This window comes from Homo sapiens, chromosome 3, assembly GCF_000001405.40.
Source record: "Homo sapiens chromosome 3, GRCh38.p14 Primary Assembly".
Taxonomy (NCBI): domain Eukaryota; kingdom Metazoa; phylum Chordata; class Mammalia; order Primates; family Hominidae; genus Homo; species Homo sapiens.
In genome coordinates this window covers 33514623-33534622 of record NC_000003.12, presented here as the reverse complement: position 1 = coordinate 33534622, position 20000 = coordinate 33514623, and the positions used below count along the sequence as shown (strand labels likewise).

General features: G+C 38.4%; 1 protein-coding gene across 81 annotated transcripts in view; it reads left to right on the top strand.

The window, feature by feature from the left end:
- CLASP2 (cytoplasmic linker associated protein 2) overlaps window positions 1-20000 on the top strand; it is a 222010-nt gene that overhangs the window by 183632 nt on the left and 18378 nt on the right. For all 81 annotated transcript variants that reach the window (NM_001375713.1, NM_001400406.1, NM_001375705.1 and 78 more), the window contains 2 exons: window positions 17449-17642; window positions 18472-18600. In NM_001375713.1, coding sequence (NP_001362642.1) covers window positions 17449-17642; window positions 18472-18600 — 323 coding nt within the window. The remainder of the gene's footprint in view (window positions 1-17448; window positions 17643-18471; window positions 18601-20000) is intronic.

Here is a 20000-nt window from a genome sequence, read left to right as displayed (position 1 = left end):
TATAAAAACTGATGATATAGTACAAAACACTACAAATGTTTTAGTGTTTTGTTTAAGAGACTGGGTGTCACTCTGTTGCCCAGTCTGGAATGTAGTCGCTCAAACATAGCTCACTGCAGCCTTGTCCTCGTAGGCTCAAGCGATCCTCCCACCTCAGCCTCCTGAGTAGCTGGGACTACGGACCACCATACTCAGCTAATTTTACCTTTTTAAATAAATGTTCTATAGAGATGGGGCCTCCCTATGTTCCCTAGGCTGGTCTTGAACTCCTGGCCATAAGTGATCCTCCCACCTCAACCTCTCAAAGTGCTGGGATTGTAGGTGTGAGCCACTGTGCCTGTCCTAGTTATTTTTTATAATAAGGAAACATATTTTTTCTTAATTACTTAATTCATTAATACTTTTCTTAAGATTCTAGTACTATATAGTAATATATAACTATACACAGATAAACTTGAAAGTCTTTCTCTCAACACTATCCCATGATTCTATATTCAGGTTTTTCTTTATTCCCATAATGTTGCTGTCAGTGAACATATTTCTGCATAAACCTTTATGCCCATAAATAATTCTTTTTGTGTGTGTCAGGCATCGTAAGAACAGTCAGTGGCCAGGCGCAGTGGCTCACTCCTGTAATCCCAACACTTTGGGAGGCCGAGGTGGGTGAATCACTTGAGGCCAGGAGTTCGAGACCAGCCTGACCAACATAGTGAAAACTTCTCTACTAAAAATATGAAAATTAGCTGGGCGTGGTGGCACGCGCCTGTCATCCCAGCTACTCGGGAGCTGAGGCAGGAGAATCGCTTGAACTCCCTGGGAGGTGGAGGTTTCAGTGAACCGAGATTGCACCACTGCACTCCAACCTGGGCAACAGAGTGAGACCCTGTCTCAAAAAAAAAGAGCAATAAAGATAATTCACTTTTAAGAGATTTCTAGAGATGGAATTGCTCACTTAAAGGATAGGTGAATTTAAAGTTTTAAACTTACTACCTATTTACATCTCAGAATAGTTGGCTAGTTTAAGTAATGCTGATTTTCTCACCAACACAGAATGTTTAAAAATTTTTCTGATTGTGATGAATGTACATTTCCTTGATTATTAGATATTGAGGAATTAAATATTAGAGATATTTTTAAATTTTTAAAATTTTTATTAACAAGAAATAGCTTCACTTGTAGTTCTTTGATTACTAGCAAAGTTGAGGAGTGTTTTTGTTACCTTCTCTTTAATATATTCACAAATATCAAAAAGCCAAAATTATGACAGTTTACCAAACTAAGTCCAAATTGCATAAGGATGTAGAAAATTGCCACAATTATAGACTTTGATGTGTTTTAATCTGTCACAAATAGTTGACTGTCTTTCTGAGGTTTAGTCATGATAGTGGTGTAACATTGGTGAATAAATTGGACATAGCATGAAAGTATCCATTGAATACTATGTAGTAGCAACAGCCTGGTAAATTGAGACTTAGCTTCAGTAGCATTAATTATTTAAAAATCATTTATGCACATGGGTCACAAACTGTCAGACTAAATGTCAACTGACTTTTCTTGCCTTGATTGTACTATAAATATGTATTTTTTAATCTTAAAATGATCAAGAGCTTAAAAATTGGGAGTACAGTACAAAGAACTTTTTCTTCATGAAACATTTGAAAGTAAATTACCAACCTGATGCTCTGTCACGTTAAACACTTTAGGATTTATTTTCTACAAAGACATTCTCCTGCATAACAACAAAATACTCATCAAAATCAAGAAATTAGCCAGTGCCAGTAGTCCCAGCTACTCAGGAGGCTGAGCCAGGAGGATCCTTTGAGGCTTGGAGTTCAAGGCTACAGTATACTATGATGATGCCTGTGAAGAGTCCCATACTAAAGACTGGACAACAAATGAGATTCTGTCTCTAAAAAACTAATAATTACAAAAAATAAAATTTCTTTTCTTCCCCCTAAACCACAGAATTTTTTAAATCAGGAAATTATCATTGGTACATTAATAACCACCTAATCCTTAAAACCCCATTAGAATTTTGCCAGCTGTCCCAATAATATCTTTTTTCCAATTTGTTTTGCTGTGTTAAAATACACATAACATTTATTATCTTAAGCATTTTATATATACAGTTTAGTGATATTAAATATATTCATACTGTTGCACATCCATCAAGACCATCCATCTCACATAACTCTTTTCAGGTTGTAAAACTGAAACTCTATACCAATTAAATAATAACTCCCCAATTCCACCCCCACTCCAGCCCCTGGCAACTACCATTCTCTTGTCTCTCTGATTTTTGTCTACTCTTAAGTACTCTATAAGTGGAGTCATACATTACTTGTCATTTTGTGACTGGCTTATTTCATTTAGCGTGGTATCCTCAAGGTTGATTCATGTTGTAGCATATGTCAGAATTTTCTTCCTTTGTAAGGCTGAATAATACTCCATTGTGTGTATATGCCACATTTTGCTTATCCATTCATCCACTGATGGACACTTGTGTTGCTTCCAAGTTTTGGCTGTTATGAATAATGTTGCTATGAACATTGGTGTGCACATACCTCTTCAATACCCTGTTTTCAATTTTGATGGGTAAATACCCAGAAGTAGAATTGCTGGATCATATGGTAGTTCTGTTTTTAATTTTTTGAAGACACTGTACTGTTTTCCATAGCAGGTATACCATTTTACTTCCCCACCACCAGTGCAGAAGGGTTTCAGTTTCCCATATCCTCACCAATACTAGTTATTTCATTGTTGCTGTTGTTGTTTTATAGTAACCATCTGAATGGATGTGTGGCGATATCCCATTGTAGGTTTTGTTTTTGTTTTTGTTTTTGTTTTGAGACAGAGTTTCGCTCTTGTCGTCTAGGCTGGAGTGCAATGGCGCGATCTTGGCTCACTGCAACCTCCACCTCCCAGGTTCAAACAATTCTCCTGCCTCAGCCTGCTGAGTAGCTGGGATTACAGGTGTGCACCGCCATGCCTGGCTAATTTTTGTATTTTAGTAGAGACGGGGTTTGTCCATGTTGGTCAGGCTGGTCTCGAACTCCTGACCTCAGGTGATCCACCCTCCTCGGCCTCCCAAAGTGCCGAGATTACAGGTATGAGCCGTTGCACCTGGCCGTCATTGTAGTTTTGATTTGCATTTCCCTAATGATTAGTAATGCTGAGCATCTTTTCCTGTGCTTATTGGCCATTTGATTACCATCTTTGGAAAAATGTCTTTTCTATTCCTTTGCCCATGTTTGAATCAGGTTGTTTATTTTTGTTGTTGTTGCAGGAGTTCTCTGTATATTCTGGATATTAATATCTTGTCAGATATATGATTTGCAAATATTTCTTCCATTCTGTGGGTTGCCATTTTACTCTGTTGATATTATTTTTTGAGACACAGAAATTTTTAATTTTCATTAACTTTAATTTGCCTATTTTTGTTGTTGTTGCCTGTGCCTTTGGGGGCTGTATATTCTATTCTTGTTCTATGTGTCTGTCTTTATGCCATTAAAATGCTGTTTTGATTACTGTAGCTCTGTAGTAAATTTTGAAATCAGGGAGAAGTATGAGTCCTCTAGCTTTGTTCTTTTTCAAGACTGTTGTGACTATTTGCTGTCACTTAAGATTCCTTATGAATTTTAGGATAATTTTTCTATTTCTGTAAAAAGTGTCATTGGGATTTTGGTAGTGATTGCACTGAATCTGTAGATCTCTTTGGATAATATTGGTATCTTAACATTATTAAGTGTTCCAATCCATGAAAATGGGATGTGCTTCTATTTATGTGTATTTTCTTTTATATTTCTTTCAGCAGTCTTTTCTAGTCTTCATTGTACAAGTCTTTCACCTTGGTTAATTCCGATGTACAGCCATGCAGTACATAACATTTCATGCAGTGTCAGACTCCATTTATGACAGTGGTCCCATAAGATTAAAATGGAGCTAAAAAATTCCTATTACCTAGTGGTATCATTGCTGTCATACCATCATAGTGCAATGCATTACACGTTTGTGATAATGCTGGTGTAAACAAACCTGCACTGCCAACTGTATAAAAATATAGCACATACAATTATGTGAAATACATAATACTTAATATCCTTAATAAACAACTGCGTTACTGGTTTGTTTATTTATTTGTTTATTTATTTTTGAGACAGGGTCTTACTCTGTCACCTAGGCTGGAGTGCAGTGGCATGATCTTGGTTCATTGCAGCCTCACCCTCCTGGGCTGAAGCTGTTCTCCTACCTTAGCCTCCTGAATAGCTGGGACAACAGGTACACGCCACCATGCCTGGCTAATTTTTTTTTGTAAAGTTAGGGTTTTGTGATATTGTCCAGGCTAGTCTAAAACTCCTGGGCTCAAGCAGTCTGCCTGCTTTAGCCTTGCAAAATGCTGGGATTACAAGGCATGCACCACCATGCACAGCCTGGTTTTAGTATTTACTATACTGTACTTTTCATCACTATTTTAGAGTGTACTCATACTTATTTTTTTTTTTAAGTTAATTGTAAAACAGCCTCATTCGGGTCCTTCAGGAGGTATTCCACAAGAAGGCATTGTTGTCATAGGAAATAACAGCCCCATGCATGTTATTACCCTTGAAGATCTTTTTTTTTTTTTTTTTTTTTTTTTTTGAGACGGAGTCTCGCTCTGTCGCCCAGCCCGGACTGCGGACCGCAGTGGCGCAATCTCGGCTCACTGCAAGCTCCGCCTCCCGGGTTCACACCATTCTCCTGCCTCAGCCTCCCGAGTAGCTGGGACTACAGGCGCCCGCCACTGCGCCCGGCTTTTTTGTATTTTTAGTAGAGACGGGGTTTCACCTTGTTAGCCAGGATGGTCTCGATCTCCTGACCTCATGATCCACCCGCCTCGGCCTCCCAAAGTGCTGGGATTACAGGCGTGAGCCACCGCGCCCGGCCGAAGATCTTTTAGTGGGACAAGATGTGGAGGTGGAAGACAGTGAAGTTGATCTTGACCCTGTGTAGGACTAGACTAATGTGTGTGTTTGTGTCTTAGGTTTTAACAAAAAAGTTTAAAAATTTTTAAAAACTTTGATAGAAGATGGCTCCTCAAATATGAATGTAAAATGGCTCACAGATTTGCAGTCTAATTTCTGGCTCTCTATTCTGTTCAGTGGTCTATGTGCCTGTTTTTGTGCTAGTACCATGCTGTTTTGGTTACTGTATCCTTGTAGTATAGTCTGAAATCAGGCAACGTGATGCCTCTAGCTTTGTTCTTTTTGCCTAGGCTTGCCTTTGCTATTTGGGCTCTTTTTTGGTTCCATATGAATTTTAAAATAGGTTTTTCAAGTTCTGTGAAGAATGTCGTTGGTAGTTTGATAGGAATAGCATTGAATCTGTACATTGCTTTGGGCAGAATAGTCATTTTAATGATGTTGATTCTTCCTATCCATGAGCTGGGATGTTTTAACATTTGTTTGTGTCTTCTCTGATTTCTTTGAGCAGTGTTTTGTAATTCTCATTGTAGAGCTCTTTCACTTCTCTGGTTAGCTATATTCCTAGGTATTTTATTCTTTTTATGGCAGTTGTGAATGGGATTGCCTTTCTGATTTGACTCTTGGTTTGGCTGTTGTTGGTGTATAGGAATGCTAGTGATTTTCGTATGTTGATTTTATATCCTGAAACTTAGCTGAAGTTGTTTATCAGCTTGAGGAGCTTTTGGGCTGAGACTATGGGGTTTTCTAAATATAAAATGATGTTGTCTGCAAACAGAGATAGTTTGACTTTCTCTTCATGTTTGGAGGCCCTTTATCTGTCTATCGACCTCTCTTTCTTTCTCTCTTTCTTTCTTCCTTTCTTTCTTTCCTTCTTTGTTTCTTTCTTTCTTTCTTTATTTCGAGATGCAGTCTTGCTCTGTCACCCAGGCTGGAGTGCTGTGGCGCAATCTTGGCTCACAGCAACCTCTGCCTCCTGGGTTCAAGCAATTCTCCTGCCTCAACCTCCCAAGTAGCTGGGACTACAGGCACACACCACCACTCCAGGCTGATTTTTGTATTTTTAGTAGAGATGGGGTTTCACCATGTTGGCCAGGCTGGTCTCAAATTCCTGACCTCAAGTGAGCCACCCATCTCGGCATCCCAAAATGCTGGGATTACAGATGTGAGCCACCATGCCTGACCTGGAAGCCCTTTATTTCTTTCTCTTGCCTGATTGCTCTGGCTAGGACTTCCAAAACTATGTTTAATAGAAGTGTTGAGAGAGGGCATCCTTGTCTTGTGCCAGTTTTCAAGGGGACTGCTTCCAGCTTTTGCCCATTTTGAATAATGTTGGCTGCTGTGGGTTTGTCATATATGGCTCTTATTATTTTGAGATATGTTCCTTCAATACCTAGCTTATTGAGAGTTTTTAGCATGAAGCAGTGTTGAATTTTGTCAAGTCTTTTTTTGTGTCTATTGAAATAATCATGTGGTTTTTGTCTTTAGTTCTGTATATGTGATGAATCACATTCATTGATTTGTGAATGTTGAGCCAGCGTTGCATCTAGGGATGAGGCCTACATGACCATGGTGGATTAGCTTTTTGATGTCCTGCTGGATTCGGTTTGCCAGTATTTTCTTGAGGATTTTGCATTGATGTTCATCAAGGATACTGGCCTGAAGTTTTCTTTTTTGTTGTTGTGGTTTTTTTTGTTTTGTTTTGAGACAGTCTCGCTCTGTCACCCAGGCTGGGGGGCAGCAGCATGATCTCGGCTCTCTGCAACTTCCACCTTCTGGGTTCAAGTAATTCTCCTGCCTCAGCCTCCTGAATAGCTGGGATTACAGGTGCATGCCACCACGTCTGGCTAATTTTTTGTATTTTTAGTAAAGATGGGTTTTAACTATGTTGGCCAGGCTGGTCTCAAGCTCCTGACCTCAGGTGATCTGCCTGCCTCAGCCTCCCAAAGTGCTGGGATTACAGGTTGTTGTAATGTGCTGGGGTACAGGTGTGAGCCACAGTACCCAGACTCTGCCAGGTTTTGGTATCATTCTGTGATGCTGGCCTCAAAATGAGTTGTGAAGGAGTCTTTCCTCCTCACTTTTTTGGAATCATTTCTGTAGGAATGGTACCAGCTTTTATTTGTACATCTGGTAGAATTCAGCTGTGCATTCATCAGATCCCATGCTTTATTATTATTATTGGTAGGCTGTGTTTTACTGATTCAATTTTGGAGCTTGTTATTAGTCTGTTCAGGGAATCAGTTTCTTCCTGCATCAGTTTTGGGAGGGTGTATGTGTCCAGGAATTTATCTGTCTCTTCTAGGTTTTCTAGTTTATATGCATAGAGGTGTTCGTAGTAGTTTCTGATGGTTTTTATTTCTGTGCAGTCAGTAGTAACATTCCCTTCATCATTTCTAATTGTGTTTATTTGGATCTTCTCTCCTTCTTTGTTAGTCTAGCTAGTGGCCTATCTATTTTATTAATTTTTTCAAAAACAACTCCTGAATCCATTGATCTTTTGAAAGATGTTTTGTGTCTCAATTTCTTTCATTTCAGCTCTGATTTTTATTTCTTGTCCTCTGCTAACATTGGGGTTAATTTGTTCTTCCTTCTCTAATTCTTTCAGTTATGAAGTTAGGTTGTTATTTTGAGATCTAACTTTTTGATGTTGGCATTTAGTGCTATGAATTTACCTCTTAACACTGCCATAGCTGTATCTCAAAGATTCTAATGTCTTGTATCTTTGTTCTCATTGTTTTCAAAGAACTTCTTGATTTCTGCCTTAATTTCATTATTTACCCAAAAGTAATTCAGGGGCGTGTTGTTTAATTCCATATAATTGCATGTTTTTGAGCAATTTTCATAGTCTTGACTTCTATTTTTATTGTGCTGTGGTCCAAGCTTGTGTCTGGTATGATTTTGGTTCTTTTACTTTTCTTGAGGATTGTTTTATATCCAATTATGTGGGCAATTTTAGAGTATGTGCCATGTGATGATGAGAAGAATGTATATTCTGTTGGTTTGGGGTGGAGAGTTCTATAAAGGTCTGTCAGATCCATTTGGTCCAATGTTGAGTTTAGTCCTGAATATCTTTGTTAATTTTCTGCCTTGATGATCTGTCTAATACTATCAGTGGAGTGTTGAAGTCTCCTGCTGTTACTGTGTGGGAATCTATGTCTCTTTGTAGATCTCTAAGAACTTGCTTTATGAATCTGTGTGCTCCTGTGTTGGGTGCATATATATTTAGGATACTTAGGTCTCCTTGTTGAATTGAACCCTTTTCCATTATGTAATGTCCTACTTTGTCTTTTTTGATCTTTGTTGGTTCGAAATCTCTTCTGTCTGAAATTAGGATTGCAACCTCTGATTTTTTGTTTTACATTTGCTTGGTAGATTTTCCTCCATACCTTTATTTTGAGTCTCTGTGTATTATGACATCTGAGCACTTTGGGAGGTCAAGGCAGGGCAGATCACTTGACACCAGGAGTTCAAGACCAGCCTGGCCAACATGGTAAAAACCCATCTCTACTAAAAATACAAAAATTAGCTGGGCATGGTGGTGCACACCTGTAATCCCAGCTATAAATTAAAAAAAAAAAAAAGAAGAAGCAGCAGCAGCAGCCTGCCCACGCTTTGGTGGAGCAGCTATGCTGGAGGAATCCCTTCCGCCCCCTGGTCAGATCAAACTCTATAAAGCCGGAAGACTGGATCAGCCAAGTCACCCAAACAGCAAAGATGGCAGCCTGCCCCTCCCGCTGGGAGCTCCTTCTTAGGGAGGTGCAGTGCCGTTAACGGTGGCTGTCTGGAATTCCAAGCCAGTGGGTCTTATCTTGTGAGGTGCTGTGGAAGTGGGGCTGCAGGCTGTCACTGCTCAGCCCCCTAGATTCAGCCTCTTTCCTAAGGCTATGTACAGGGGTCTAACCTCCCACTTTGCCGGAGCTGTAGCTACCTTTGCCTGAAAGCCCGAGTATCTGAGGCTCCAGGGTTTCCATGCATGCCTGAGTGGCTCCTCTGCCAAGACTCCACATAGTTCTGACAGACTGAAGGCTAGTGGAGTGGGTTCACAGGGAGATCTCCTGACCTGAGGGTTGCAGAGATCTGTGGGAGAAGCATGGTCCCTGGAGTCACATATTCACTCACCGCTTTCCTAGGCAGGGGAGGTTCCCCTGGCTCGGTGTTGCTCTCTAGTGGGCTGCTGTCCTGTCTTACTTTTCTTTGTTCTCTGTGGGTCAAGTTGTTTCCTTGATTAGTCCCATTGTGAGCACCTGGATGTTTGAGTTGAAGGTGTGTGTGTTTACTCACCCCTTCCCTTCCTCTCTGTGAGAGCCATGTACACTAGCTACTTCTGGTCAGCCATCTTGCCCCTTTATCCTTTCTCATTTTTAAGTTAACACATTTATAGCTATAAATTTCCCCCTTAGCACTGTTTTCACTGTGTTCCATAAGTTTTGGTATGTAGTTGTTTTTATTCAGTTGTCTCTCTATATTCTAGTTTCTCTAATTTCTTTGATCCATTAAGAGTGTGTTGTTTAATTTCCTCAAACTTGTGAATTTTCCAGTTTTACTTCTGTTACTGATTTGTAACTTCATCATGTGGTGGGAGAAGATACTATGTTTTATATCCATATTTTAAAATCTGTTGAAACTTACTTTGTGTCCCAACATATAACCTATATTGGAAAATGTCCTGTGTGCACCATATATGTCTGTTGGATGTAGTTGTTTTATTGTATTAAGTCCTCTGTTTTCTTACTTCTGTCTCTTTGTTCTATCCATTATTGAGAGTGAGAATCCAATAGTGAGAGTCCAACTATTATTGTAAAACTATTTTTCCCTTCAATTCTGTCAGTTTTTGCTTCATATATTTTGATGGTCTGTCATTAGCTGCATACATGTTTATAGTTGTTATTTATTCTTGATGCATATTGAATCTTTTTAATATATAATGTCCTCCTCCTTTATCTGTTGTAACCTGTTTTTCACTTAAGGTCTATTTTGTCTGATTATTATTATTTTTCTTTTTTTTATCCTAAGACAGGGTCTCACTTTCATTGCCCAGGCTGGAATGCAGTGACTCAATCATGGCTTACTGCAGCCTCAACTTGTGGGCTCAGGTGGATTCTCCCACCTCAGCCTCCCTAGTAGCTGGGATTATAGGCACATGCCACCACGCCTGGCTAATTGTATGTATTTTTAGTAGAGATGGGGTTTCACTGTGTTGCCTGGTCTGGTCTTAAACTCCTGAGCTTAAGTGATAAGTGATCTGCCTCCTTTGGCCTCACAAAGTGCTAGTATTACAGGCATGCACCAACGCACCCAGCCTATTTTGTCTGGCATTAGTATAGCCACCCCTGCTCTCTGACTATTACTTATTGATATACCTATTACTATTACCATTGATATACCATGCAAATAGTAATAGTTTTACTATTATTGATATACCTATTACTATTACTATTGATATACCAGGCAAATAGTAATTACTATTTGCAAAAGGATAGAATATCTTTCTGTCCTTTTTCATCCAGTCTGCTAATCTCTGTCTTTTGACTGGGTGATTTAATTCGTTTACATTTAAAGTAATTACTGATAAGAAAGGACTTACTTCTGTCATGTTGCTATTTGTTTTCTGTATGCCTTATAGCCTGTCACTTTTTACATTACTTTCTTTTGTGTTTAGTTGTTTTGTAGTGAAATGTTTAAATTTCTTATTTCCTTTAGTGTATATTTTATAGCTATTTTCTTGGTTGTTTCCATGGGGGTTACATTTAATATCCTAAATTTATAATGCTACTTTAAATGTATGCCAGTTTAATTTCAATAACATACAAAAACTCTGTGCTTTTCCAGCTCTGACCCCACCCTTTTCAGTTGTTGGCATTATAAAATTACGTCTTTATACAATTGTCTCCAGAAATATAAACTGTCTTTTACTATATTAGTCTCTTAGATTATGTAGAAAACAAAAAATGGAGTTACAGTCTGTTATTACAATAATAGTAGTTTTTATAATTGCCAATGTATATATTTACGTTTATTGAGATCTGTATTTCTTCATATGGTTTCAAGTTACTGTCTAGAGTACTTTTAATTTCTCCCTCGCTTTTGAAGGACAGTTTTGACAGATGTAGGATTCTTGGTTAACAGTTTTTTTCTTTTAGCACTTTGAATATATCAGCCTACTACCTTCTGACCTCCAACGTTTCTAATGAGAAATCTGCTGATAATCTTACTGAGGATCCTTTTTATGTCACTGGTCACTTATCTGTTGCTGCTTGCAAGATTCTGTCTTTGCCTTTTGAAAGTTTGATTATCATGTGTCTTGATGTGGCTCTCTTTGAGTTCATTTTACATGGAATTCATTGAGCTTCTTATATGTTTATGTTCATGTCTTTCATCAAATTTTGGAGGTTTTCAGCCATAATTTTTTCAAATAGTTTTTCTGTCTTTCTGTTCTCTTCTGATACTCCCACAATGAGTAGATTTGTTCACTTGATGATGTCTCACATATCCCTTAGGCTCTGCTCACTAATTCTTTTGCCTGCTCAAATATGCTTATTAAGTAATTACACTAGTGAATTTGTTTGTTTGTTTGTTTTTTGTTTTTGAGATGGAGTCTCTCTCTGGCTCCCAGGCTGGAGTGCAGTGGCGCGATCTCAGCTTACTGCAAGCTCCGCCTCCTGGGTTCGTGCCATTCTCCTGTCTCAGCCTCCCCAGCAGCTGGGACTACAAGCGCCCACCACCACACCTGGCTAATTTTGTGTGTGTGTGTTTTTAGTAGAGACGGGGTTTCACCGTGTTAGCCAGGATGGTCTCGATCTCCTGACCTTGTGATCCGCCCGCCTCAGCCTCCCAAAGTGCTGGGATTACAGGCGTGAGCCACTGCGCCCGGCCACTATTGGATTTTTTATTTCAGTTACCATACTTCTTAATTCCAGAATTTCTTTTTGGTTTCTTTTTAGGTTTTCTATCTCTTTACTGATATTTCCATTTTGTTCATACATTATTTTCATGAATTTATACACATCTTAACTTCTTAGAGCATCTTTAAGACAGGTATTTTAAAATCTTTGTCTAGTAGATCTGCCATCAGATCTTTTTCAAGGGCAGTTTCTGTTTATTTATTTTTTCTCTGAGTATGCTGTATTATCCTGGTTCTTCATATGCCTTGTGATTTTTTTGTTGAAAACTGGATATTTGAATCTTAATAATGTGGTTACATTGGAAATCAGATTCTCTCAATACCCCAGAGATTGGTGGCTTTTGTTATTTTTGCTTGTTGATTCTGGTTCTGATTGTTGCAGGCTTTCTCTATGCCAAAGATCAGCCTCAGCCTGAGGTATAAAGTCTTCTCAGATCCTTTCTGAGCCTGTACCTTTTTCTGGGCATCCATTGTCACTTTCTAACTCTCCATGTGTATGCAGTTGTTTTTGAATATGCTGGTCTTTAATGTCTGGCTCCCAAAAAGGAAAAAGAGAAAAATGAAAAAGGAGGGGCAGGACCTTTAAGCCCCTGGAAGTCACTTTAGCTAGAGGGGGAAGGGCTTGCAATAGTGAGGAAAGGTGCAACAATAATGGCTGCCAGCCTCTTTGTCTGTACCTCTGTTATCAGAAGCAGCTGTGACTAGGACTTGGAAAGGGTCTTTGGAAGAAAAAAAAAAGCAGCAGTCAACAGTGCACAGGTCCTCAGTATCCGCAGGATAAGGTTCTTTTTTCATGCCCTGATTCCCACAAGCTGTGTGCAAGCTGCTCCAGCAACATGTGCACAGCTGCCTGTCAAGGGGCTGGGGCTGGTGGAGGGGGGAGTGGGTAGTTGCTACTGTACTGAGAGCTGAAATTGATAGAAATTAACCACACTTTACCATCCAAGACCTTCCCTAGAAGTTCTAAGCCTTCAGTAGACTAGAGTTCCAAAATAGTTACATCAGACAGATTCTGTTGTCTGGTTGAGGAGACAGAGTCCTGATGCTTCCTAATCTACCATCTTCCCAGAATCTCTCAATAATATCTTACAGCTAAAGGATCCATTTCAGAACCACACATTGCATTTAATCATCATGTCTCCATCAGTGTTCTTCTCCTCCAGTGTTCAGTCTTTCCTTAGCTCTCATGACCATGACACTTTTGAAGTTATTTTGTAGCATTTCTCTGAATGTAGTTTTGTCTGATGTTTTCTCATGATTAGAATCAGGTTATACATTCTTTGCATCAGTATTGCAGAAGTGATGGTGCATTCTTTTCATTGCACCCTATCTAGTAACACATGGTTTCACTGTGCTCCATCACTGGTGATGTTAACTTTGATCTCTTGATTATGGTGGGGCTTACCAGACTTCTTTACTGTGAAATTACTTTTTCTTTTTGTAATTAAGTGTTTTATCAGGAGATACTAATATTTTTAAACAGGTTACATATTCTTTTCATCAAACTTGAATTCATTTATTTAGGAAATTTTTTATTTTCTATTCTAGAAAATTTATTTGAGAAAATTGACATACATTTTTGTAACAGTAGGGACTCATAGTTTCCCATTATAACAATCATTATTTATTTATTTTGAAGCTCAAATTGCCCTTGATTTGACCAACAGGATTCCATTCAAGCCGGCTTTTGTTGTTCTTCTAACATGTCCCCATCCTTGCATTCTGGTACTGTTGTACTATCCCTGTGCTTCAGTCCTGGAATCAATCATTTCTTCAGGGATCCATTGTTCCTATTAAGGGAAGATGATTTTAAAGGCTAAGATCTGGACTCTAGATGTACTCACTGTTAGTGATATGTCACTGCTCCCCAGACCTCTCAGTGGGCAGAGCTAGGGAGTGTGTGTGTGTGTGTGTGTGTGTGTGTGTGTGTGTGTGTGTGTAGAGATTTACATCTCTGTTTCCATATCTATCAAAAACCATGTTTTTACACTAGTAGTTCCATTCTGGCACCAAGGAAATTCTAATTTCCAGATTGATAACCCACTTTTCTGACAGAAACCTAGCTTTCGTTATCTTTAATATGTTTACCAATTTGATCAGTCCTCTGTATGCTACCAGTTTTTCTGCTATCTCTGCTATTACCTCCTTACTTGCACAGATCTACTCCTCATCCTGCTAGGCTTTGCCATTCCATCCTCACTCAAAACCATGAATGCCCTTCTTATTCCACTTTGGCTCCAGCAGCTTACACCTGATTACCACTCTATGTGGACAGCCTTCCTACCTGTCTGGGCTGAAAGCTGATACATTCACCAGTGGATACCCTCCTTATAGTTTGTTTGGGAATCTGTGTACTAATGCCTGGTCATTTGTAATTTTGATAACTTTTTAAAAATTATCCTTTGCATTTCTTTGATTACTTTTACCAGCTTCTCATGTCAAGAGACAATATATCAGCCAGCTGCAGTGCCTCACGCCTGTAATCCCAACACTTTGGGAGGCCGAGGCAGGCAGATCACCCGAGGTCAGGAGTTCGAGACTAGCCTGGCCAATATGATGAAACCCCATCTCTAACAAAAATTAGCTGGGCGTGGTAGCAGGTGCCTGTAATTCCAGCTACTTGGGAGGCTGAGGCACGAGAATGGCTTGAACCTTGGAGGTGGAGGTTGCTGTGAGCCAAGATCACGCCAGTGCACTCCAGCCTGGGTGACAGAGCAAGACTCTGTCTCAGAAAAAAAGAAAAGAGAGAGATAACATATCAAAAATATCATAAAGCCAAAATTATGACAGTTTATCAGGATCACTCCCTTGTTCTGTAATTCTCTTCTCCTTTACTAAGGATCACATATTTTATATTTGGTAAAGGAAGACGTTTTTGGAAACTATAACTGAAATCTAAATTGGGTATAGTATTTTTGAGCTTGGGAACACTACTTCATCATAGTCTAATGTGTGATTTACTTCTGAAACATAGGCAGCCATTTTATGTTGAGTAAACATTCTTTGAAGATGGATAAGCCCTCAGTTAAACTACTGTAGTACAAAGAAAAGAAAAAAGAAAAAAAACTAAAGCAGTAGTAGTCCCATGCTTTGTATGGCAGTTGTTTTCATTTATTATCTATTTTCATTTTTAATGTTGAGATGAGGAAGACCCTGTTTGACATTATTTTATTATGAACATTGTTAACATTATTCTTTTTTAAATTGTTCTCTATTTCTGTTCTGATTTTTCTTTTATTCTCCTCCCCCATGCACTTTCTCCTCCTTTTTTGTTTTTAAAATCTAAAATTTAGCAAAAGATAATTATTCAAGTCAGAATTTCTATAACTTTTATAGAAATTATTTCAATATCTGATACCTATTGATTATGTCTCTCACCCAGTGTTTCTGCCCACATTACAATCGGGCACACACATTTATCAAAGTTAACAAGTCCAAAAAAAGCCACTGATAACCTTTGTAAAGTTTACTAGGAACTATAATATTCTAGAATATTACCTCTAGTGAGGATAGTGCAGTTATTCAGGAAAGATTCATATAAAAGTTTGCCAACCTGAAAGACTATTTTGTACTTCTTGAGCACTGCCACAAAAATATTATCAGAATTGTAATTGTGTCAATATTTGTCAGAAGGACACAGGAAAATTAATATTAATGATCTTACTGTATTCTAGGCCCAAGTCCTCACCATGACCCTAGGAGGCAGATGCTATTTTCCCATTTTACTGATAATAAAACTGCACCTTGGCAATAATTAGGAAACTGCTCCAATCACAGAGTATAAGAAGCAGAGATTTAATGAGACTACAGAGCCTATGTTCTTTTCACTTGACCATGGTGCTGCTCTCTGTCAGAAGAGGAAAAATTCAGCAACTTTGGATTATCTCATTCATATAGATAATTCAGTTTTGTAACAATCTGTGCTTTCTCTGGAAGAAATTATTTTTCTGCCAGTCATCTGTCCAGATCATTATATGTCAGGTCATTTCTAATTATCTGCTAGAGTAATTACAAAGCTTACTTTCATGGAAAAGATAACTGACTACCGTGAAAAGCATTTTCTTGTGAATCACATTCATCCAGCTGAAATAAAAGACACTCTTAGAATGATCCTTTAACATCTTTGAAAGTCTGATAAGTTATAAATTTCCGGGAGTGATTTTTTGTGGGGTTTATAGAGACACATTCATCCTGCTGGCAATAGTTCTTGTTAAAACCAGCAATAGTGTTATATTGGTCTGCAGCGTGCTCTGTGGTTGTTTCATTCCAGAGAGATGGGAAGGAAATTAGTCTATGGCCCAAGCCCAGGGCACTACCTGCTGAAATCCCTCAAGGTCTGAATTTATAGTGTATTTGATCATAAAAAAATTTAAGAGGAACTCTGGTATTTTGTTACATTCAAATGTGGATTCTTAGATTTAACTGTTATTCCTACAAAAATGATTTAAAGCACTGTCTGATAAGTTGTTTAAAAATAAGCAGTGAGTGACTTTTCATGGTTATAAAATCCATGAGTTTGTAATTATGCTTTTAAAAAGAAGGCAAAAACAAATCAAAACTCCTTGGTAACCACTGGGCCCAATTCTTGATGCTAAAATTTAAAGAGAACTATATTAAGAATCTGTTCTGCTTTTTCTATAAAACTGTATTTCAGGATAATCAGAATAGGTCTAGTTGATAAAGTTATTCTCTACAGAAGAATTCTACCCCATGGAAGGAGTGGTATGATTAGATAATCACCATTTTTAACTCATATTAAAATAACTGATTCAACAACAATCAGTGACTGAAACCTTTGGTTAAAAGATTGATAGTCTGGGCATGGTGGCTCATGCCTATAATCCCAACACTTTGGGAGGCCAGTAGATCACTTGAGCCCAGGAGTTCCAGACTGGCCTGGACAACATGGCGAAACCCCGTCTCCACAAAAATTAGCTGGGTGTGTAGGTACACACCTGTAGTCCCACCTACTCAGGAGGCTTAAGTTGGGAGGATCAATTGAGCCTGGGAGGTGGAGACTGCAATGAGCCATGATCACACCACTACACTCCAGCCTTGGCGACAAAGTGAAACCCTGTCTCAGAAAAAAAAGGGGGATGATTTATGGAGAAGTTTACAATGGTGGGATTAGATTGTCACTACCTAAATCCAGTGGTCGTTTTTATCATCCCTAAAAGCCATTTAAGCCTCCTGGCATGAAACCATAGAAATACATACTGAAGTATATAAAGAGGAAATGACATATATGGGATTTGCTAGAAATACTTCAGATAAAAGGGAAGAGGGGACAAAGATGACGTAAGAATGGTAAAATCTTAAAAACTGTTAAATCTGGGTGATGGGAATATAAGGGTTCATTATACTGGTCTCACTTTTGTGTATTTTTATTATACAAAGTTTTAAGATAGCACCAGTGTTTTGGGAATGACAAAATTGAAAAGAAGATTACTTAATGTCTTTTTTCTTTGTCTTTTTTACAGCAAACATGATGGTTATATCTGTGTTTCATCATATAAAGTTGTTATCCCCATACTTGTGAGAGTCACCCTATAAAGTTATAGAACTAATACCATGTCCTTTTGACAGATCTTTCCCTAGATCATTCTGACCTAGTTGCAGAGTTGTTGAAGGAGCTGTCTAACCATAATGAGCGTGTAGAAGAAAGAAAAATTGCCCTCTATGAACTTATGAAACTGACACAGGAAGAATCTTTTAGTGTTTGGGATGAACACTTCAAAACAATATTGCTTTTATTGCTTGAAACGCTTGGAGATAAAGAGGTAAATGGCAAAATATGTAAACAGTAGCCTTTCCTTCCTGTCTCTTTTACATTGCCTGTTAATCTAATGCTACACGGATTTAGCAATTGGGAGAATGAATCTCTTCTGCTGCTGCTTTCTGCATGAACTTTTCACTGTGAAGTACTTTTTCTTCTAAACCAAGTAGCTCAACAATTTTGAACAATTAACAGGAAAAATGAAAGGTCGCAGGCTGAATTCTTATAGAAAAGTACATGTTACTTGTTTTACATATTTAGATTAGTTGTTCAGGAGCAACTTTTATTTATTTATTTATTTATTTATTTATTTTGAGGAATAATCTCACTCATTCTCAAGCCCAGGCTGGAATGCAGTGGTGTGATCTCAGCTCACTGCAACCTCCATCTCCCAGGCTCCAGTGATTCTCCTGCCTCAGCCTCCTGAGTAGCTGGGATTATAAGCACGTGCCACCACCCCCGGCTAATTTTGTGTTTTTGGTAGAGATGGGGTTTCACCATGTTGGCCAGGCTGGTCTTGAACTCCTGAACTCAAGTGATCCACCCACCTCAGCCTTCCAAAGAGCTGGGATTACTGGCATGAGCCACCGTGCCCAGCTCCAAAACTTCTTTTTATAGTCTGAATGTAGTTCTTGATTTCTTGCAAATAAAATAAGTATAATATAAATTTTCAATTAGAGATAAGAAAACTTAATTACATAGTATACCGCATACTTTATGCAGTTATCTACAACTCCTCCCCCAATATTAAGACCCTTAAGTTACAAAAATTGAAAATGTTAAAGATTATCTACAACCCAAAATATTAAAAACATTTAAATGTTTCTTCTTAGCCTACAATCAGGGCTTTGGCATTAAAGGTTTTAAGAGAAATCCTAAGGCATCAACCAGCAAGATTTAAAAACTATGCAGAATTGACTGTCATGAAAACATTGGAAGCACATAAAGATCCTCATAAGGAGGTAAGTTACCTGGCCGGTAAAGTATTATTCCATTATTTTATTTCATGAAACATGTAACCATTGTGTAAAATGTAGCCTTATTAATGATTTTCTTGAACATTTGCCTTGACATTCAGGGTAATACCTGATCGAGATGCAAGCATATTTTTTTCTATTAAATGAATTAAACAGTGATATCATGACCTTTCACCTAAAACAGGCCAGCTCTAGGAAATAATTTATTTTATTTTGTTTTCTCCTTCACTTCACTTTTAGTTTTCTACTTAGAGTTTAGCAATCTTATTTTCACTTTTCATTTAGCAATAAGAATTTGATTTTTTAAAATAACTAATGAAGATAAGAAATCATTGTTTTGGGGGGGTTGTTTGTTTGTTGAATCAGGATCTCACTCTGTCGCCCAGGCTGGAGTGCAGTGGTGTGATCACAGCTCACTGCAGCCTCAGCCTCCCGGTTCCAGTGATCTTCCCACCTCAGCTTCCCGAGTAGCTGGGACTGCAGGCATGCACCAGCACAACTGGCTGATTTTTGGTATTTTTTGTAGAGATGAAGTTTCACCATGTTGCCCAAGCAGGTCATTGTTATTTTTAAGTGATAAATTGCCTAGAGGAGCTATATATCTGTTGCAAGTTTATTCACCAAAGTAGTGAGGATAGCTTTCATGGAAGAGTTCCGTGAACCTGTTTCATAGTACTTGGTAGCCATGATATCTCTCTCCCCTTCTTCACCAGTGACATCGATTAGGTAACTATGAGGATTGAAAGAATTAGAAAAAAAATGTTCAAATAGGGACTATTTTTTTTATTTCAATAGGTTTTTGAGGAACAGATGGTGTTTGGTTATATGAATAAGTTCTTTAGTGGTGATTTCTGAGATTTTGGTGCATCCGTCACCCTAGCGGTGTACACTGTACCTAATGTGTAGTCTTTTATCCCTCACCCCACACCCACTCTTTCCCCCAAGTCCCCAAAGTCCATTGTATCATTTTATACCTTTGCACCCTCATAGCCTAGCTCCCACTTATGAATGAGAACATATGATGTTTGGTTTTCCATTCCTGAGTTACTTCACTTAGAATAAAAGATCGCCAATTCCATCCAGGTTGCTGTGGATGCCATTATTTCATTCCTTTCTATGGCTGAGTAGTATTCCATGGTGTGTGTGTGCGTATATACACATACACATGGTGTGTGTGTGTGTGTGTATATACATATACACAATTTCTTTATCCATTCATTGATTGATGTGCATTTGGGCTATTTCCATATTTTTGCAATTGCCAATTGTGCTGCTATAAACACCTGTGTGCAAGTATCTTTTTCATATCATGACTTCTTTTTTTCTAGGTAGATACCCAATAGTGGGATTGCTGGATCAAATGGAGTTCTACTTTTAGTTCTGTA